This window comes from Homo sapiens, chromosome 7, assembly GCF_000001405.40.
Source record: "Homo sapiens chromosome 7, GRCh38.p14 Primary Assembly".
Lineage (NCBI taxonomy): Eukaryota > Metazoa > Chordata > Mammalia > Primates > Hominidae > Homo > Homo sapiens.
Window position 1 is genome coordinate 85,378,040 of NC_000007.14, and position 23,780 is coordinate 85,401,819.

Below are 23,780 nucleotides of genomic sequence, written 5' to 3' on the forward strand. Positions count from 1 at the left end.
TAAAACAAATACATAAAAAAGAATAAAAATTTATATAAAGAAGTAAAATTCTGTTGCTTACTAATAGTATCTTTAAAAGATAAAACAGAGAAGAGGCCTCATGCTACTAGACATTAATCCATGTAATCCATGTTAGAGAACATTATGATGGAAACAGTGCATTCCTTATATATGAACAGAAAGATTCACTAACAGTCTTGTATACAAAGACACTGAGCATAGATTTAAGGAGGTCTCAAACTTTAGGGGAGAAAAGATGGATTATTTAGTAGAAGGCATTGCAAAAATGGCTCATTTTTGATGTGAAAAAAAATTGCCTCATTTTATATAAAAGGTAAATTTGATATGAAATAAAGACTTGAATATAAAAGGCAAAATATAAAAGCTAAGAAAAATATTAATAATAAAATATAAATTTAAATGCCTAAATATTCAAGTTTTTTCTTAAATAAAATGTATTAGAAACTTGGAGAAAATATTTGCAATGCTTAAAACAAAGAATTTACAAGAAACTCTGCAAATCAAAAGGAAACCTAAAAAACACAAGTGAAAATGGGCAAAAAGCATAAACAGGCAGTTCACAGCAAGGTTGAAAAGTTGCTCTATTACATTACTAACATATTAATTTATACAGAAACAATACCAAGATTCTATAAGACTGGAATTAGAACTCAGAAAAAATGCCAAGTATTTGCAAATATGTATGAAATGAAAACTCTTGTGCTTTGTGCACTGTTGTTAGAAGTTTAGACAGCTGCAGATGTCCAACAGTATTTAGGGAAATTAAGCATGCTTGTTTTTTTTGTGAATATATCTTTGAACTAGTAATTTCACTCCTTATTGTGTACTCCTTATTACATATTTGTTAGTTCATATTAGAGTATTATTTTAAGAAGGGAGGAGTTATAGTTTACCCAGGTATTCAGCCCAAGACAATTGGATAATAAAACTAGGATGAGTGCACACCGTGGAGTAGCATGAAGCATTCAAAAGCAGAGAACATGAGATTCATATACCACCCTAGAATGACTGTGAAACAGTTTGGAGTGGAAAAAGTCAGGCAGAAATTTTTCGCATAAGATCATTTATTTTAATGAAAATAGATACATATAAAAAAAAACTGTTAATGTTCCTTATGGATATATACTTATCCAAAGACACATGTTAAACAGACTTGTGTAGCTGGAAAGAGAAAGAAAAATAGAGTGGCAATTATGGCTCAAAGAGTAAAAATAATAAATCATGAGATAAACCAAATGAACCTTTGTCTTGGTTATTATTATTGCTGTGAAACAAATCTTTCCAAAGTTTAATAACATAAAACAATAGCAAAGACTTGGAACCAACCCTAATGTCCATCAGTGATAGACTGGATTAAGAAAGTGTGGCACATATACACCATGGAATACTATGCAGCCATAAAAAAGGATGAGTTCATGTCCTTTGTAGGAACATGGATGAAGCTGAAAATCATCAGTCTGAGCAAACTGTCACAAGGACAGAAAATCAAACACCGCATGTTCTCACTCATAGGTGGGAATTGAACAATGAGAACATTTGGACATAAGGCAGGGAACATCACACACTGGGGCCTGTCATGGGGTGGGGGGACTGGGGAGGGATAGCATTAGGAGAAATACTTAATGTAAATGACGAGTTAATGGGTGCAGCAAACCAACTTGGCACAGGTATACATATGTAACAAAACTGCATGTTGTGCACATGTACCCTAGAACTTAAAGTATAATAATAAAAAAATAGTATTTATCATACTCATAGATCTATGAGTTAGGGCCTCAGAATGACTATGTCTGAGGCCTCTGCTTAGAAGATTCAGATGGCTGGGGACAAAAACACCTGGGGCTGTATGATCTACTTCCAAGATGATGTCTGCACTCACGTGTTTAAAACCTAAGTTGAGATCATTTAAAGACTGACCCAACTGGGACTGGTCAACAGAACACTTATACATGGCTTCTCTATGTGGCTGAGGCTTGTCACAGCCCAATGGCTTGGTTCTGAGGGGGCATCCTAAGAGGGTCCTTCATTGAATAGGTGTTCCAAGAAAACCAAGTAGAGGTTCCATGATTTTCAATAACCTACTCTCAGAAGTCAGTGTCAATGCTACCATACTCATTGGTTGAAGAAGTCACAACCTCACTGTACTATAAGAAGTGGAGATGCAGTCCCCACCTCTCGGTAGGAGGGGTGGCAAAAGAAGCATAATGAAGGACTGGAGATATTGTCAAGGTCATCTTTAGAAAATGTAACCTGTCACATTTGTCCACAAAAAGAAAGTGATAATGTCTCCTGAGCTGAGCAATATATTAATCACTCCACATCTCAGGTCTCCTCCACAACACCCCCCAACACATGAAAGGGAAGAAAAGACGTCTGATCTAAATGGCAGGTGGGTGTGATCAGTAAAAGCTTTAGCCCTTGAAGTTAAAGCTAAAATTTGTGTAGGAAATAGATATAAAAAAGGGAAAAGTATTTCAAGTGTAGGAGGCAGCCTGTGTTAATGCACTGCAGCAGCAAGAAGCCAGGGTTATGGCGTACACTAGGGACTGAAACATGGTCATTATGACTGGGGCACTGTCTCAGTCTGTCCATGCTGAATTTACCCTGCTATAATAAAATACCTGACATTGAGTAATTGATAAATAATAAAGATTTAATTCTCACAGTTCTGGAGAGAAAGTCCAAGACTAAACTGTTGGCATTCAGTGTCTGGTGAGGGCTTTTTTTGCATTCTCTGGATGGGAGGAACTCTGTGTCCTCACATAGCAGAAGTTCCTTCAGCCCTTTTGTAAGATTACTAATCTCACGAGAGCTCTGCCTTCATGACTTAATCACCTCCTAAATGCCTCACTTCTTAATACTATCACACTGTTATTTAAGTTTCAACATATGAATTTTGGGGGACACATTTAGATCAAAACAGGAACCAAGAGAGAGAGAGAGAATAGGGAGGTAGGTAGAGTCCAAATAATGTAGGTAACATAAAAAATGTTGCAGCTCATTTTAATGGGAAAAGGGAGCAATGGATTTTTTTTTTTTAATGACATGATTTTAACTAGATTTGAACAGAAGAATGGCCACTTGGCCCAGGTAGAAGTAGATGAAGTGTTTGGTTTCATGTGTCAGGTAACTACCGAAGTTCCTCCCCATGATGCAACTCCAGGTGGGATTGTACTTCTTGTCAAATTCTTTCTTGATATGAGCCGCAGTGTCCTCTATGTTGTATTTCTCCAGCGCCTGAGCAGCGCACTCCACTGAGTCCTGTTGCATCTCTTCCGACATGTCCGTATTTTTGATCACGGCCTTTTGGTCGCACTTGGTTACCACGGAGAACTGCAAGGGTCTCCTGGGGAAGGTGCTAGCACGGCTCAGGCCCGGCTGGAGCTGCCTTCGCTACCGAAGCCGTGGCGCCACACACCCAGTGATCCATCCAAAAACAAGGACTGAAGCCTAAATTCTAAATACCAGAGACTGAAATTTTCAGGCTTCCTAAGGGAACACCTCGTTTGAACCTTTGTCGTGTTTTGTACAGGGCATTCTCTGTACTAGTTTGTTGTGGTTATAAAACAATTAGTAGAATAGCCTACGTTTGTATTTATTTTCTGTTCCATACTTCTGCCCCACGTTGTTTTCTCTCAAAATCCATTCCTTTAAAAAATAAATCTGTTGCAGATGAAAAAAATTTTTTTTAAATGACATGATTGAATGTATGTTTTGAAAACAGTCCTATTTCTGTAGTGTGGCAAATAAATAGGAGGAAAGCCAGAGTCAATATAGGAAAACCCAAATTTAGACTAATAAAGCGATCTAAAGAAGAGATCAAGTTTGCTTGAAATAAATGAAAACAGTAGAAGTGGAAAGATGTATACTTATTCAGAGCAGGAATCGCAATGAAAATGCTAATGATTTGGATATGGTAGAGGAAGAAGTAAGAATTATCCTAAACTGAGCAATTGGATAGACCCAACATTTTCTGGGAGAGAGAAAGTTGGTTAGGGTTATGCTTATAAATTAAGGCTTGATCATGAATTTTGAACATAATATCTGTGCTCAGATTAGAATTTTCATCTGAAGTAAAATTTTGGAGACTATTTTGCATGTTTAATTTGCTGTGAATATGGAAAAAATTATTTATGAAGATTGTAAAGTTCAATCAAACAAATGTTTTCTAAAAATATTTGTTCAGAGTCCTTTTTAAAATCATTTATAAAATCATATTGAGAAACTGAAATGAACAAATATTATAAAATATTCTTTGAAAGAAGATGGATGAATACGTATCTTTCAAGAAACCCAGCATGGTTTCTTTTAACCCCTATTTTAAGTTGTTTGAAAAGGCAATGGATCTGAGGTGAAAAACAGTACAGATACTTAGAATACAATTAAGGTACAGAGAACGATAAATTTGGGGTCACATTTTAACAAGCCAGCAAAACTGGGAGAGAGACTAATGTCATGTTGAAAACATTGAGCTAACTGATATTAATTTCTATAGCTAATTTTATTGAATCTGTTTATGTGCTTAGCACTTTACATGTTTAACTAATATATTCATAACAATCTGATGAATTAAGAAATAGTATTATTTTTACATCAAAGACCATGAAACAGACTCAGGAGAGTTATATTTCTTAAAAAAGATTACCTGCAAGTGCAAAAACTAGAATATAAATTTGTGTAGTTTCTATCCACCTCAAAGACAACACAAATCTCCATGAAAGGGAGACACAAAGATATTCATGAGAAACACTGCCTTGTATTTTACGTTGCTGTTCTATAAAATGAGATGTATACAATAAGATTTAATAAAATATAAAAACCTAGAAAACTGCAAAGTCTAATAACTTTGGATCAGACTTTAAAAATTAATCAAGTAGAATATTTCAGATGATTTTTCTCTATCTCATCTGGCATAAGGTGTGGAGGATTGGCAAACTGTGAATTATTTGGCTATGACATGATGAGTAATATCTGAGTGAAAAATATCTAGACATGAGACCCTAGCATGTGCTTCCTAACCACTCTTTGGCAGAATTGAAGCTTCTCATCTGTCTGCTAGCCAAGACTCTTAAGATTAGGTATGGCATCATTAGGTATTAAAATGCTTTTATAGCGTATTTCTTAGAAGGAATTTTTGGGAAGCCTTACATCTTAGCAAATGGGAACATAGATCTTTTAAGGTAGTGTCCAGAAATGAACTCAATGTAATTTTCCATGTTTTAACAGCTGCTATTCAAGGAGATCATATTTTTTTGCAAACAAATAGCACTTTATAATGTTTACAGGTAGATTTTTTGCCATATTTATTAAAAAGTAAAATCAAAATGCTAAATGATAGATATTAATTAGATGCAAAATAATGCATAGGTCCCACATGTATGAGTTGGTTTTGATGTCATGAAAGAAAGTACATTTAACTGCTTTGATTAACTGACATAACTAAGAAAAACTCAACTTTATGACCGATTGGGAATCATCTTTGGTAGAAAGTTGGCCTATAATTACTTGTTTCTTATTTGTCTCTGGCTCTTTTTCTTTGGCTTTTACACTGCTGGTAGCATTTTTTAGCCTGCAGGGACATCAAGTTTTCAACATTCTACCAGTAAGGAGAAAAAATGCTCTTAAAGAGTCCTGATATTCAAAGGCTCTTATATAGAGTCCTTGGGATACTTTATGAGGTCACTGGTCCATACAATTGAGCTTCTAGTGAGACTAATAATAGAATTATAAGTAAAAATTGAGTATGAATACACTTTCTTTTCTTGGCTCTGTCTTGTGAGATATATATTTGGTATCCCTTTCTCCTATGTGGTTTCTATGGAAAAATAAGGTCTGAGGTTTTATTATTATTATTTTATTATTTTCTTAATAATGTAAGCATTCACCTCTCCCCTGAATGATCAGCAAAAACCGAGTGGAGGCCAACGACAACACCAAAATTCCTAAGCTGGCTTAGAGATTCTCTACTTATTTCTATCTTACATGCTGTTATTCATCATTTATCAGTAGAATTTGTATGGTCTAGAAGAAAAGGATTATGGTATAATCCCAGGGAAAATACACAAAAAGCTACCACTGTGTCTGTCTCTCTCTAGTTAGCATCCTAAGGTAAAACTTCAAGAAAGGCCCTAAAGAATAATATGTAATTTGGCCCAGCTTACAAAGGTAGAAACCCAAGTATGATTTAGAATCAAGTGCTGGGTAGAAACAAATATTTGCCTTGAGCATTGTCTTCAATGAAGGCAAAAACAATTCGGATTTTCATACTTTTCGATAATAGAATAAGTCTAAGACAGTGAGTCCCATAAGATATTGGATTACAAATCTTAGAATCACATTCCATGAGTACATTTTCCTCCCTCAATAAAATTCCATCAATCTATATTAAACCATTAAGACTCAAATGGTTTTAAAAATTGGCAAGTAAATAAAAGAGTCATAGGGTTTTATTGGACTTTAAGTCCACGCATTCCTTAAATTATACCATGGGCAAACATAAATTTACAATGTATCTGTCTTAACTTTGCCCCTATATTTTGTGAAGTGAAAACATTTCAATTTCAGGAGCTAAGCAATTACAGTGTCCAGTCACTTTGCAAATAAGTCTGCTTTGTCTGACCACCTGAATACACAAGTCCATCATTCTTAAAACGAAATCTTTGCCTCAACATTTCTTTTGTTGGCTTTATACTAGTTAGTTACTTTTTGTCAGCTCTTGTCTTGATATTCTCCTTTACTTTGGACACTTATTGCTTCCTCTAAGATTTGAATCTTACCCTGTCCTTATCAGTATTTCTTAAAACCTTAAAAATGTACCCTCAAAATCCTGTCGCATCACTGGAATCTTGATGCCTGCTGTTGGGCCCACTGACACTATTCACTTGTCTGGATCTTTGAAGCTTATTGGTCCTATGTCAGTGTTCCCTACTCATCTGTTAAAATGCTCACTAGTTGTCTTTGGCTGAATTTTGCCTATTATTACCAGTTGCTATTCTATCCAAATTCAGATCCTATTTGTCCAGCTGGACTGGCTATGGTGTATGAAATCACGAATCTTGGTTCAATGTTTAGTTCTGATACTGACCTAGCTGAATTTGTTAATGGTATTGAGCTTTATTTTCTTCACCTTCAATATGGGGACAGAGTTAAGCATCTATGATTTTATATCTAATTAATATAGAGAAAGGTGGTTATTGATATATAGAAATTATATAGATAAGTAGGTAACATTGATTCAACACTTACTGTATGAATAAGCACTGTAACAAGCTCTTTATTGAAATGATAATAATCTAGGGATTGCTATGATTTCCATCTAAGTGACTTGCTAAGATCTCAGACTTTCTTCTGAATCCAAGACATAATGACTATTATGACTTAGTTTATACTATTATTGTAAGAAATAGAGATAAAGCCCTTGGCATTGTCCCTGATATTTAAGCGGCAACTCCACCTGTCCTTGTGGCTGAGTTTAAAACAGACAGGAGTCCTGATATGGTTTGGCTGTGTCCCCACCCAAATCTCATCCTGAATTGTACTCCCATAATTCTCACATATTGTGGGAAGGAACTGGTGGGAGATAACTGAATCATGGGGGCGGTTTTCCTCACACTGTTCTCCTGGTAGTGAATATGTCTCATGAGATCTGATGGTTTTATCAGGGGTTTCTGCTTTTGCATCTTCCTTATTCTCTCTGCTTGCTGCCATCCATGTAAGATGGAACTTGCCCCTCCTTGCCTTTCACCATAATTGTGAGGCTTCCCCAGACACATGGAACTGTAAGTCCAATTAAATCTCTTTCTATTGTAAATTGCCCAGTCTTGCATATGTCTTTATCAGCAGCATGAAAATGGACTAATACAAGTCCTGTCATTCTCTGAGTGTGTAATATTCACGCCTAGTCTCTCTGGCCTAAGTTAACATACGTGCTGCAAAGCTATCACCAACTAATGTTGCTTCCCTTGTGCTGCAGCTGTAACTTCTTTACATTTTATTTATATCCCAGTTGATTACTTCCTATTTTGTACCCAATTATTTCTTTAACAAATCGTAAAGATATTTTTTGAAAATCCACTACAATATGTATATTGCAGACACAATTCTGTTTTGGGTAATTGTTTTAACCAATAGTAAATTTTTTAAACTGAAGTAAAACATAATGTAACTGAACTAAAATTAATGTGAACTATAAGATAAATTAAATGAATTGACTGTATCTTGCCTGAGCTACGTGACTGTCTATAGAATACCTACTACATGGAATGATGTTTGTTGCTAACAATTAGTACATAGAAAGTTCTTAAATTGTTTTTGAAAGTCAATTTGTCTGAAGACCTTGGAACAAAATGACATATAATTGACTGACCACCCTAGTTGGTGCTTTTGGAACTTAATTCTATCACTATTAGATATAGAGGAAGCAATTTGCTTAAATTCTTACTAAATAGAAATATTGGTACCGAAAACTGTAAAGCATCTGAGCATTTACCCTAAGTCATTGTTGACAAGTTAGTTTCATGGATGCTGGCAAAAGGCATAAGACTCCTGGTCACATATTACTCATTGCACAGCAAATAGTATGAACTTTATGTTTGTTTTGGCTCCCACCACTCTGCATGTCCTACAGGGGTGACACAAATAGGTGTAGGTGGATGTCTCATAGGTAGTAGGTTGGTGTCACAGTTGAGAAATGCCAAGCTTAGAGAACCTGAGTCTTTTATAATGAATTGCAAACCTGACTGATCTTGGCCTTTGAAGGGGATGTTACCTTCATTATATTTGACAATACAATAAAAGAAAAGGGGGGAAACACTCTTGGCTCGAGAGAGAGACACTTTTTCTCCCTTCCAAGGGAGTATAAGGCTCTTCACAGTATAAATATCTTTGACAAGATAGTCCAGGATACAGGCTATCAGTGCTTCTTGCAAGATGTATAGAAATGCAAAAGATTCGTGTAGAATTGTTGACACATTCTTTGATTTGATTCTAAGTTATGCTTTAATTAGAATTCAACAGTTCTAGCTGGTAACATCAAAAGTGAAGAAATTGATTCATCCTGGTTTTGGGGGCTCAACTCACATGGCTATTTCTCTGTATCCACAATAATATTTTATACTATTCTGAATAATTGATTCCAGAAAATATAATCATGCTTTGGTACTGTGAAGAGTCAATTTCATTTATAAAATAGTGGTGACGGTGCTACCAGATGAAGTCTGTGGCGATAACTACACCAGAATATTTCTGGTGATAGATATACCAAAATAGATAGAGAAAGAATCTATAGAACAAGACAAAATTTCAGTTTTTGTAGTTTTCATCCTTCGCATTAGTTCATTCACTCAACCTATATGCCAATTCTATATTTAAGATATGGCCAGCATAATTGTATGTATGCTAGAAATATTGTGGTGAATAAAACAGAAAAAAAGTTTCCATATTTTGGAATTTAGAACTTAGTGGCACAATCCATCTTTACCAGGTAAGTCATGACTATTTAAGAGAAACACAATGAGCAACTGCCTGGTAACTACCAATTAATGTTATATCCCCATTACTATGCAATTAATAATTAAGAAAGTCAATATTACGACCTTTGACACCCCAAAAAGATGAAAAAGGTAGTTTTTTTTTCCTACGAACTGATTCTCTTTCCTATTTTATACTTTACTTTTCTTCATAGTTGCTAATAGCCTATGTGTGGGTGTTTATCTTGTAAGTAAAACTTATTTATTTGCAAATGTTTATTTTCTACTATAATATAAGATGCACTAGAATATAAGAAATCAGGGATTTCTGTCTGTTTCATTCAGTGTTACATATAATATAAAAAGTTCTGACACAGAGTAAGTACTCAATAAATATTTGTTGACTAAATTAAATTGATGAATAAAATAGATTCCCAGGGAGCAAAGGGCTCCATAGATATTCCCAAAGGTAACTGGAGTTGAAGAAGAAAAGGTCTCCATTTGGTGTTAGATGTAGCATATCTTTGTATTAACAGAAAAAAAAAATCCTATGTGAAACTTTGTTGGAGGCTGGAATTAAAGTATAATCGGGGTTGGAATTAAAGTATAATTCCTTTAATACTGAATATATATGAAAACAAGAAAGTATAGTTTATTACTTTTAATGGAAATATGTTTATACCCTCCATTCTAATGTGGTCTGGTGAAAAATGGTTTCATATATAAAAGTGATCATGAAACTTCTTTTGAACAGAAAACAGATCTAAAATTCAGCCAGACATAAAGAAACAAGATATTTTCTTGAAATATGACTTGGGATGAAAAGACCAGGGCAATCTCTCCATATTTAGTTTTAAATCTCAATGGAAGGCAATTAATTTAAGGTGTATGAAAGGATAATTCTATAAACATGTTTAATGAAGACTTTCCTATGCCAAGGATGGTGATTATACCAATTGCAAATGATAGATTTATGTTTTTAGCTTTTCCCTCACATATGCCAGCTGGCCTGGAATAGAAGAATTTGAGTTAAAATACATTTCACTATTGTGCTAAAAATATCATTTTGACTTGAAACTTAGGCCTGAGATAATAGTCTTACTTGTAATGCGTACCTTTAGAGATAATATTTTAGACAGTTGCAAAATAGGACAAAAGAGATGACCCTTTAAAAAACATATAATGAATTCTTGACATTTCTGTAGTTTGGCTAAATCCAGTGTAAAAATGGTTTCAGGAAGTGAGATGTTTTATATAGTTTCATTTTATAAATAAGAATATGTGTGTTCTTTTAGTTTAAAGAGCCCCAAATGCAATGACTATCTTTCAGACTGCTTTTGCCTGAGGAGGAAAACAATTATCATCTTGTTTTATTTTTTGTTTCAATAATTTTCAATTCAGAAAATCAAGTTTTAACAATTATGTTTATGCCTTGTGAATATTCTAAAGTGTTTTTTTAGAAAGCAGCTGTAATGAAGTAAAAAATAAGTATGAGGAACAAGCTAAAAAAGAATTTTATTCATAAGCAATAAAAATCTCTATGTGATGATTCTAAGAATTTTTCAAACTCAAGGGAAAAAGTGGCCCAAATCATTTCACAGGTGTCACAGTTTTCAGATTTAGAGATGAGATAGCATCATTTATTATCGAAGTATTACTAAATCAGTAAAAAAGACATTTTAAAATATCTAAGCCCTCTATAAGTTGTAGACAATATTTATATTTCAATCTACAAAATAGTTAAGTATTAATATTTGGAAAGCACAGGAACCCATGACCTGACGGGACTTCATTCTATAATTCTAATCGCTAAATTTAATTCATAAGATAAATAAGTTGTAATTCTAAGGTGGTTCAATTTATAAGTGAATGATGTAAAAGAATCAATGCTGCTTTTACTAAGTTATACAAAAGAACTACTGACAGAGAAAAAATTCGTAAGCCAATATATTTCGCAACGTATTTTTAATCAAAGAAAGATTAAAATACCTAACAATAGCCTTTCAGACTAACCTTTTATTCATTAGTAGATTATACCATTAATCGACATCACAGTTTTCTTATTTTGTCTCTGATACTTCTAGAATTTTTGTCTCTTATTAGTATTTAATATTTACTTGTGATTAAAAGAAATTCTTCAATTTGGTGAGACATTCACAAAAACACACACCTGTGGCTGGTCTTTTTAAGAGAATGCTGCTTGACTGAATCCATCTTCATCAGGTAAACTACGACTCTCCCAGAGAGCCACAACTAGCAACTGCCTAAAAACTACAACCACTCATTTGCCTTCATTCCTGTGTATATAATTTCTACCCTCTTACCAATGAATATAGTTCTCTTTTTAAATTTGGGATAATGCTGGGGAATGGGGATGGGATAGGGAAAAGAAAGAAGCATGGGCTTTGGAAAAATTTGACCCTGTAGCTACGTTCATGCCTAACAGAATTTTTAAAAAATGAAATAAAATAAAATAAGTCTTCAGATGGTAGAAAACCCAAGAGCTGTCTTGCCACACAATGATCAGAATAAACACTAAGATTCTGGTAACTTCTTATAACACCTGTTTATAAATATCATTTAATCCTCATAGAGCTCTTTGAGGCAGATACTTTATCAGGACCTCTTTAAATATACAAGAGATTAATATAACTCAACTCTGTTTTATATATTTTAGCTAAAATATTCTGACTCAAGATCACGAAGTGCAGTGGTTTGCAGTTTGAGGAATAGTGACAAGGACGCTTCACCCACATACCATCAGAAGTCATGCTCAAATTGCATTTGGGCTACTTTAAACTACATACACCACAAGCCTGCTCAGAGTTTGACAGAGAGGCTACTCCATCTAATTATATATTATTTATATTAAATTTTCCCTTGCCCGAATTAGAAAAATTATTTTATACATTTATTATACAGTTGGAGTTTTTTTGTCACCACCAGAATTATTTTCTGGGATACCCTGACTTCCTGAATGATTTTTAAAATTTGCAAATATTACAGTTTATCTTATAAAATTCTAGATTTTCAAAAATGTATAATGTCATGTATTTACCATTACAGTATCATACAGAAGAATTTGATCATCCTAAATCTCCCCATGCTTCACATTTTCATTCTTCTGTCCATGAACACCTGCAATCATTGATATTTTACAGCCTCTATAATTTTGCTTTTTGCAGAATGTCATACAATTGAAATCACACAATATGTAGCCTTTTCAGACCAGCTTTCTTATCTTGGCATTATGCATTTGAGTTTCCTCCATATCTTTTCATCGCTTGATAGCTCATTTTTTAAATCACTGAATCCATTGGATGATGTAACACAGTTTGTTTATCCTTTCACCTGTTTAAAACATTCTAGTTGTTTCCAATTTGATTGTGAGTATGAATAAAGCTAAACATTCCTCTGCATGTTTTTGTGTGATCATAGTTTTTAACTCAATTAGATAAATACCTAGGAGAGCTACATCATATGGTAAACCTATTTTCCTTCTTTGTAAGAAACAGTCAAATTATCTTCCAAAATGGCTGCACAATTTCACATTCCTATCAGCAATAAGTAAGAGTTACTGTTCTTCCACATTCTCATCAGCATTTGGTATTGTTAATGTTTTGAATCTCAGCCATTCTACCAAGTCTATAGTGGCATCTCATTACTGTTTTAGCTCAAAATTCCCTAATTGCAAATGATATCAAGTATCTTTGCATATTCTTGTTGCAGTTTGCCTTATTTAGTGAGATGTTTACTGTAATCTTTTACCCATTTTTCAACTGCGATTTTTATTTATAGTATTCTATTCTATAAATTTCTCTCTAAGCACTGCTTTTACTTTATCCCACCAATTTTGTATTTTTATTCACTTTTAGTACAAAATACTTGTTAATTTCTCTTGAAACTTCTTTTTTGACCCATGTTTTACTAGAAGTATGTTGTCTAATCTCTGTTTTTAAAATTTTCAGCCCTATTTCTGTTATTGACTTCTTGTTTAATTCCTTGTAGTCTGTGAAGATACATTCTATGAGTGTTATTCTTCAATTTTTCTGCCTGCTTTATCTGGCCATTACTGAAAGAGATGATTGAATTCTTCATCCGTAATAGTGAATTTGTCTATTTCTTCTTATACTTCTATCAGTTTTGCATCATATATTTTGGCACTGTGTTGTTAGGGGCATATACAGTAAATTTTGTTTTGTACTTTTGGAAAATTAACCTCTGTAACATTACGTAATGACTCTCTTTATTCTTGTCTATTTATTTGCTCTGAAGTTTATTTTGTCTGAAATTAATATAGCTACTCCAGCTTTCTTTCACTTAGAATTAGCATAATATATGTTTCCATTCCTTTACCATTAGCCTGTTTCTTTATATCTAAAGGGAAATTTTGAAGACAATGCATAGATTTTTTTTTAAATATACTCTGATATTCACTGTTATTTAATTGGTACGTTTAGGCCACTCAAAAAGTGCTTATCAACCACTTTTTAAAGTGCTTTTTTATATAGCTGAAATTATATCTACTGTATTTGTAACTATTTATTTTGTGCATTTTTCTTTGTCTTTTTCAGTTTTCACATTTTTCTAATTTTTCTGGTTTTATTTAGAATCTTACATTTTTCAATTTTGTCTCCCCTCAGTAAAATAAATTTTATTTCCTTAAAAAATGTTTTAGTGATTGCCCTAGATTTTGAAATGTACATTTTACAACTATCTGAATTCATTTTCAAGTAACCCTATACTTTTTTTGAGTAGTGTAAGTAACTTCTAACAGAGTAGTTAGTCCTAATTTCTCCCTACTGTTGTTAGTGGTGGCAAATCTGTACACATATGCAGCAACCTCAATTCTTGCTGCTCACTCAGACGAAAGAATTGGACTAGGAGGCATAGGGCAGAAGGGGAGACCCAGGCACGTTTGCGAGCAGGAGTGACATTTTATTAAAAAGCTTTAGAGCAGAAATGAAAAGAAGTAAAGTACACTTGGAAGAGGGCCAAGCATGTGACTTGAGAAATCAAGTGTGTGGTTTGACCTTTGACTTAGAATTTTATATGTTGGCATGCTTCTGTGGTCTTGGGTCTCTTCTCCCCTGATTCTTCCCTTTGGGTGGGCTGTCCGAATGCCCAGTGGCCTGCCAGCACTTGGAGGGGACTGCATGTGCAGTGTATTTACTGCAGTTGTATGCATGCTCACTTGAGGCATTCTTCCCTTACCAGTCAAGTGTTCCTATAAAGTCATATACCAGTTAAACTCTGCCATTTTGCCTCCTAGCATGCATGCTTGAGCCCACTTGCCCAGCTCCTGAGATCTTATTGGGAAGCTGATCAACAGTTTCAGGTTTTTCTAGCTATTGGTGCCTTTCTCTGGCACAGGCTATTGCCAATTGTTATTTAAGAGAGACAGTTAAGTGCCTGACCATCATCTGATGGTCACCTGACTTTCCTGCTGGTAGAGGTGGCCCTCTCGTGTCCTCTTCATGTCTGACTAGCTACCTATGCAGCACCTCTCTTATAATATTGATGCCACTTATTTACTTATTTGTATAACATTACAACTTTGAACAAATAGTTATCTATTAGATAACAATTATACATCTATTATAGATCTATTTGATCTGTAATGATAATTATTTATACATCTATTAGATCTATAATAATAATTTATAGATCTAATAGATCTATAATAATAATTATTATTATCTATTAATAATAGATCTATAATTATTATTATAGATCTATTTTATATAACTATAATAATAACTATTTACAGATCTATTACATAACTAGCTAGATCTATTCCTTTTGACAATTTCTCATTAAACAGAAGAAAACAAAATTTTATTTTACCGATATTCATTGCTTCTCAGATGCTCTTTATGGAGCTCCAATTTTGTATATAATTTTCCTTCTTTCTGAAGAACTTCTTGTAATGTTTCTTTCAGGTAGCGTTTACTAAACCTAGTAGTAAAAAATGTTTCCTCAGTTTTTGATTTTCTGAGAAAGTATTTATTTCTGCTTCACTTTTGAATGATCATTTTGGTGGATAAATTATTCTTAGTTGGAATTTTTTTTTCAGCATGTGAATATTTCACTCTACTCTTTTCTTGCTTCTATTGTTTCCAAAGAGATGTTTGATGTAGTTCTTATCCTTGTTCCTTGAAGGTGGTTTTCCTCTCTTCTGTCTATCTTGTTTCTTTTTCTTTATATGAATGCCAAGGTGTATATTTTTTGGTCTTTATTTGCTTAGTGTTTTCTGGGTCTGTGTTTTAGTATCTGTCAATAATTTAAAAAAATTATCAGTTATTACTATTTCAAACATTTCTTGTGCTCCTTTTCTCTCTTTCTTCCCTAGTATTTCAATTACACATATATTAATCATTTGTAATTATCCTACAGTGCTGGGATATTCTATTATGTCATTAAATTTTTTTTTCTGTTCATTTCAGTTTGAAAAGTTTCTATTGACATAATTTCAAGCTCATTGACTCTTTTTCTCAGATGTGTCCAGTCTACTTATAAACCCATCAAAAGTCATTTTACATTTCTGTTACTATGCTTTTGATTTTTGGCATTTCATTTTGACAATTTCCCAATGTTTCTATTTCTCTGCTTACATTACCCATACCTTCTTATATCTTGTCCACTTTTCTCATTAGAGCCCATACATCATTGATGAAAACTGTATCAGTCTGTTCTCACACTGCTGATAAAGACATACCTGAGACTGAGTAGTTTATAAAGGAAAGAGATTTAATTGACTCACAGTTCCACTTGGCTGGGGAGGCCTCACAATCATAATGGAAGGCAAAGGAGGAGCAAAGTAACATCTTACATGCTGGCAAGCAAGAAAGAGAGCATGGGCAGGGGAACTACTCTTTGTAAAACCATCAGATCTTTTAAGACTTATTCACTATCATGAGAACAGCATGGGAAAGACCTATCTCCATGATTCAATTAATCCCACCAGCTCCCTTCTACAATATGGGGGAATTATGGAAGGTACAATTAGAAATTTGGGTGGGAACACAGCCAAGCCATATCATTCTGCCCCTGGCCCCTTCCAAATCTAATGTCCTTTTCACATTATAAAACCAATTATGCCTTCCCAACAGTCTCCAGAAGTCTTAACTCATTTCAGCATTAATTCAAAAGCCCACAGTCCAAAGTCTCATCTGAGACAAGGCAAGACCCTTCTGCCTATGAGCCTGTAAAGTCAAAAGCTAGTTACTTCCTACACACAATGGGGGTATAAGCATTGGGTAAACACACCCATTCTAAATGGGATAAATTGGCCTAAACAAAGGGGCTACAAGCCCTATGCAAGCTCAAAAATCCAACAGGGCAGTCAAATATTAAAGCTCGGAAATGATCTCCTTTGACTCTAGGTCCCACATCCAGGTCACACTGATGCAAGATGTGGGTTGGCTCCCATGGCCTTGGGCAGCTCTGCCCCTGTGACTTTGAATGGTATAGCTCTGCTCCTGGCTACTTTCATGGGCTGGCATTGAGTGCCTGCAGCTTTTCCAGGAACATGGTGCAAGCTGTTGGTGGATCTACCATCCTGGGGTCTAGAGGACAGCAGCCCTCTTCCCAGAGCTCCACTAAGTAGTGCCCCAGTGGGGACTCTGTGTGGGGGTTTGCATCCCTTCTGCACTACCCTAGCAGAGGTTTTCCAGGAGGGCTCTGCACCTGCAGCACACCTCTGTCTGTACATCCAGGCATTTCCATACATTCTCTGAAATCTAGGCAGAGGTTCTGAAATCCCAATTCTTGACTTCTGTGTACCAGCAGGCCCAATGCCATGTGTTAGCTGCTAAGGCTTGGGGCTTGCACCCTCTGAATCAACGACCTGAGCTGTACATTGGTCTCTTTCAGTCAGGGCTGGGAAGCAGGGCACCAAGTCCCTAGGCTGCACAGAGCAGGAGGGCCCTGGGCCCAGACCAGGAAACTGTTTTTCCCTCCTAGGCCTCTGGGCCTATGAATGGAGGGGCTGTTGTGAAGTTCTCTGCCATGCCCTGGACACATTTTTCCCATTGTCTTGGCGATTAGCATTTGGCTCCTTGTTACTTATGCAAATTTCTATAGCCAGCTTGAATTTCTCCCTAGAAAATCATTTTTTATTTACTACTGCATTATCAGGCTGCAATTTTTTTAACTTTTATGCTTTGTCGCCTTTTGAATGCTTTGCTGCTTAAACATTTCTTCCACCAGATACCCTAAATCATCTCTCTTAAGTTCAAAGTTCCACAGATCTCTAGATAAGGGGCAAAATGTCGTGTCTCTTTGTATAGCAAGAGTGACCTTTACTTCAGTTTCCAACAAGTTTCTCATCTCCATCTGACACCAGCTCAGCCAAGACCTTATTGTCCATATCACTATCAGCATTTTGGTTAAAGACATTCAACAAGTCTCTAGGAAGTTCCAAACTTTCCCACATCTTCTTGTCTTCTGAGTCCTACAAGTCTTTAGGAAGTTCCAAACTTTCCCACATTTTTCTATCTTCTTCTGAGCCCTCCAAACTGCTCTAACTTCTGACTGTTACCCAGTTCCAAATTCATTTCCACATTTTCAGGTATCTTTACAGCAGCTCCCTACTATCTGGTACCAAGTTACTGTATTAGTCTGTTCTCATACTGCTAATAAAGACATAGCCAAGACTGGGTAATTTATAAAGGAACGAGGTTTAATTGACTGACAGTTCCACATTGCTGGAGAGGACTCAAAACCATGGTGGAAGGCAAATAAGGAGTAAGGTCACATCTTCCATGGCTGTAGGCAAGAAAGAGATCATGTGTAGGGGAACTTCCCTTTATATAACCATCAGATCTCATGAGACTTATTCACTATCATGAAAACAGCATGGGAAAGACCTGCCCTCATGATTGAATTACCTCTTACCAGGTCCCTCCCAAGACAAGTGGGAATTATGGGAGCTACAATTTAAGATTTGGGTGGGGACAAAGCCAAAACATATAAACATCCAAACCCTGTAAAAGATTTAAAGAGTTATATTCTGAGCAAATATGAGAAATCATGGCAGAGGACAGTCTCAAAAGGTCCTGAGACAGTGTGCCTGAGGCAGTGAGGTTACCATTTGTTTCCATATACTTTAGGAAGACAGAAATTATAGGCAAATACTTAAATTAATACATATATGATATACATTGGTTCAGCCTATAGAGGCAGGATATCTTGAAGTTGACAGGAGTGGTGGGGGGGAAGACTGAATTAAAACTCACAGGGGGATTCAAACATTTTCAGATTGCTAATTGGTTGAAAGAGTTAAGATTTCTAAAGACTTGTCAGTAGAAAGAATGCTTGAGTTAAGGAGGGCTGTGGAGGCCAAGGTTCTTGTTATGCAGATGAAGGCTTCGGGTAGCAGTCTTCAGAGAGAATAGACATAAGCATCTCTTCAGATCTTAAAGGTCTCTGATGTATCTCTCTTAGATCCAGGAAAGAACTAGAAAAAGAAAGCCTGGCTGCATTAATGAAGATTCTCTACAGATATATATTTCCCTCACAATAGACAGCTTTGCAGGAACATTTCAAAATATGTCAAAAAATATGTTTTGGGGTAAAATGTTTTTATTTTCTTCAGGGTCTGCTATCTGTTATGTGATGCTATACCAGAGTCAGGTTGTAAGCTGGTATCTTATTGCCACAGAAATTCTGTTTTGTCAGTTTTATGATCTTTATTTTAGTGTTAATGCTGGCAAGTTGTGCATAAACTCCAAAATGGAGGGGATATATCAAAGTGTGTCCAACCTCCCTTCCCATCATGGCCAGGAATTTAGATTTATAGGTTTCTGTGGGGTCTCCTTGGCCAAGAGGGGGTCCATTTAGTCAGTTGAGGGGCTTAGGATTCTATATTTAGTTTGCATTCTTAATTATAGTAATTTTAGATTCCTTATATGACAATTCTAAAGTCCATGTCAAATCTGAGTTTATGCTTGATTTTTGTATTTTCTCTTGCCTTTAGCATGCCTTGTAATTTTTTGTTGAAAGCCATACAAGATGTATCAGTTACAGAAAATGTCCTTTAGTATGGCTTTTATGATAATCTTGCTAGAAGGTAGTCTGTGTATAATGTTTGCTGTATTCTGTTGGTACTAGTGCTAGAGGCTTCAGTGTCCTTTAGTGTTCTTGTTATTGGCCCCTCCTCCTCCCTGCACACCCACCCCCAACTTTGGAAAGTTGGAAAGGTTTCCAAGGTTGGAAGTTGGTATCTTATTGCCACACAGAGTCTGTTTTGTCAGTCTTATAATCTTTCTTAAGAAAGATCCTTATGATTCTAAAGATCATAAGACTGGCAAATAAATAGATGGAAGTTTCAGCTTTTACAACTGTAATTCATTGTGATTTTATTGGTTTCCTGTTGATGTGATGGTAAGGTGTGGGGAAAAAAAGTGTTTAATAATCTTGTGATTAAATCTCAGTATTTTACTGGGACTGAGTTGTTGGACTGTGACCTTCACAACTTTTTATTTTTATTATTTGCCTTTTTCTATCTCTCAGTAGAAAGAAAGAAGAAAGGCTGGGAGGATTTAGGGACTGGAGTTTGTTAATTGTCCTCCCCCCAGGTCAGATAAGTTTCTGGGAAAATATTTTTCCTTGCAGTGCTGTCTTCGTTATGGAGAAAATGATTTAGCTGTATTTCAAAAGGGTTACTTTTTTCCCTGTCCTGCCAAAAATATAAGGGTATTTTTCTTTGATCTTCACCATGAGAACCTGATGTTGTTCTTGGAGGTAAAACTCACCAAAGTATGCTCCTACCACCCCAACCCTATGACTGGGTGACTAGGAGTTTCTCACTCTCAAGCTAGTCCACACTTAGCTTCCAGCAATTCATCAAAATTATCATTTGAGTATTCTTATCATCATATGGCTCCAGCAGCTTCTGGCCCAAATAATCTGATGGCAAGTATGCTCATCTTTATTCACCTGTCTCTAGCTTTTAGGTTGGTGGTTTTGCACTGTGACCTCAATTCTCTGATGCTTCTCCATTAAGTCATTAATTATTGGTTTGTCAAGCATTTTCCTTGTTTAATTATTTATTAGTTATTTATTTATTACTGCTTTCTCTTGAAATTGTTTTCTATGATCTTAGTAGCACACTATAAACATCATTTTCTCCCTGGTTTTCCCTGTAATTCACAATAATTGAATACTACTTCTATGTGTTTTATTATTATAATAAACACTAACTCTCTATTCTACATTGTCCTTTTTGTTCACTTAGCAAACTTTACCTGGAAAGCTCATTCATGCTACCGTCTTCAATGATCACCTATAGAATTATGCCATGGAACTATTTTGTTTGGTCTAGACATCTTCCAAAGTTCTAGATGTGTGGGTCCATCTATTTACTGAGCATCCTGACACTGAGGCATAAAATTACTGAAAACTGATTACTGAGGAGTACTCTCAAGAGACAACCTGGTTAAGGGTACCTCTTACTCAGTGATCTTCCCCTCTTGCAGGAGTGATCTCCTCTCCAGTTTCTGCCTGCTTTTGTTATTCTCCAATGTCTTTAAGAAGGTATCATCATTATAATTATAGCTTATCTTGGTATCAATGGAAGGTTAATCTGACATAATGTTTTCTTTCATTATCAGAACCATACCTATTCTGAATGAAATTAAACCCTCAAAATGATTCAAACTTATCTCTGTAGTTCACTACCTAAACCACTGTGAAACTGACACTGAGCACAATACATTTAGTGTCTAGGGAACAGTTTCCTGAGTAAAGCTCTTTCTTTTTACAACAGCATATCTAATTCAATATCGCAACAAATGTACATAATTGCTAAAGAGACAAATTATTTTCTGAATTCTATTCCTGACCTTATAACCCAAGTTGAGTGAAATAAATTTTAACAATACAAATGTCAGTGTGCCTATTTGATAGATTTATATGAGAAAAGAAAAAAATGTTATGAATAGACATAAGTACACTTGACCATATATTAATATATTTTAAATTAATTTTTGAAACTAAGTAGGCTCTAAAGCACTCAGCTTAAAAAAAAAACAAAAATAAAAACAAACCTAAGAAAAGATTCTATAGATACAATTTTTCAACATCACATTCTGGCTATTTGAGATTAAGAGATTCTGTTTTAGGTAGCCCATATTTTAGACGGATAAGAAGAGTGGCAAGAACCGCATTCCTTTATAGCAGGTACCGTCCTGTACCTGCTATAAGTATTCAGTGGTTTGTTTTTTCAATATTTGCTTCGACATAGTATTTTTTTTCTTTTATCAGGGAAGGAGGTTTGCATTGGCTTCATATATTGATCTAATTTTAACTTTTTTTTTTTTTTTTCAGTCTTTACCCTTCTGTCTTACTGGGTATCTAGGCTTTCTGGAAAGTCAATACCATAGCACTAAACATGAAAAACTAGGGGAGGATGACAGGACAAACACAGGTTTTAATATTTAACAACACATTGACCAACACGTTGACCAAATACACTGATTATTTTAAAATGAATTGCCTTAATTAGGAGAGAAATATGGTTATGTGTCTCATATTTGGTTTTCTGGTACATAAGAAATATTAATATAGTTGCTAAATTGCTTTGCTCTTTAAAAGTGTTTTTGGAGCTCAATGTAATTAAAACACTTTTTTTTTTTTTTTTTTTTTTTGACAGGTTCTCACTCTGTAGTCCTGGCTGGAATGCAGTGGCAGGATCACGGCTCACTGCAGCCTCAGCCTCCTCAGGCTCAGGCGATCTTCACACCTCAGCCTCCTGAGTAGCTAAGGCTCCAGGCATGCACCAATCACACCTGACTAATTTTTATATTTTTAGTAGAGACAGGGTTTTGTCATGTTGCCCAGGCTGATCTCAAACTCTGGGGCTCAAGAGATCTGCCCGCCTTGGCCTCCCAAAGTGTCAGAATTACAGGCGTGAGCCACTTCATCTGGCCCAATTAAAACTATTAACATCAATTCCAATATTAGTATTATTGCTTTAGTATCAGATATTAGAGACAGAAATAAACTAATAGTTTAAACGTCACCATTTTGATGTTCAGTTTATCAGCATGGGAAAAGATAACTATGCTAATCCTCTACTACATCCTCATCCCCACGTTACCTGTTATTGGAAGGTTGAAATGTATGTAATTAGACAAAACTTTTATTCTTCAAACAGTGATGAGTCTAAAATACATGAATATTTCCTCAAGAGATAAAATATTGATTTAAATTCACAATATACACTTTAACAATATTAATTTCCTAAAAAGAGTTTTTTTATTAAAATACAAAGGAACAAGGCTACTAGCTACCTATAATTATGAAAATCATAAGCAAATAAAAAACTTGGAGATCTGTTAATATTTTACCTAAAATTGTAAAGATCTAATATTTTTGACTCCATTATCTTATTTAATTATTAGAGTAATCATAAAAGACAGGAATTCATTTTCCTATTTTTACATTTGAGAACATGGAAACCTGGATGAGTTAAGAATTATTTCAAAGGCAGTGAAGCAGAGGTTGAACTCATGAGATTCTGAAGGTTATGCTCTTTCCATGATATATTCTGAAGGCTTTTAGTATAGTCCGTAATAATTAAAAAATTATTAATAATCTTTAATTATAAATATTAACTAATTATCTAGGTTATTCCGCTGGGATATTTATTTTAGAAATTCTTTTTGTGCCTTTAATAAGGTCTGAAAACTATTAAATTTATTATTATACTGTGTTTGTTTACAGCTTTGCAATGCTGATGAATATTCTCACCATATATAGGCTACTGTCTTTCCTTTTTAATTAACTTTTTATTTCGGAAGAATTTTAGATTTACAGAAAGGTTGTAAAGAACACAAAAAATTCCTATATACCCTACATGCAGTTTTTTGTATTGTTAACAGGTAACATTAATATGGTACATTTGTCAAAATTATCGAGGCAATATTGATATATTTTTACAGCAATTGCTTTATTTATATTTTCTTAATTTTTACCTAATACTCTCCTTTTTGTTCTAACATCCCGTCTGTTAAACCACAGTATACTTGTCATGTCTTAAGCTACTCTTGGATGTGACTGTTTCTCAGACTTTTTTTTTTTTTTTCTGTAGATAAATTGGCTGGTACAGACTTTCTTTGTTTTTGATGACCTAAAAAGTTTGAAGGAGAATTGATCAGGTATTTTGTAGACTATCTATCAATTTGTTATTGTCTGATTACTAGTAGAATGGAGTTAAATATTGTGTGGAGGGAGACTACAGAGGCGAAATAATATCTTCTTCACATCATATCAAGGGCACACACTGTC

At 34.8% G+C, this 23,780-nt stretch overlaps 1 pseudogene; it reads right to left on the bottom strand.

Moving 5' to 3' along the window:
* Window positions 3,066–3,432, bottom strand: DYNLL1P7 (dynein light chain LC8-type 1 pseudogene 7; annotated as a pseudogene).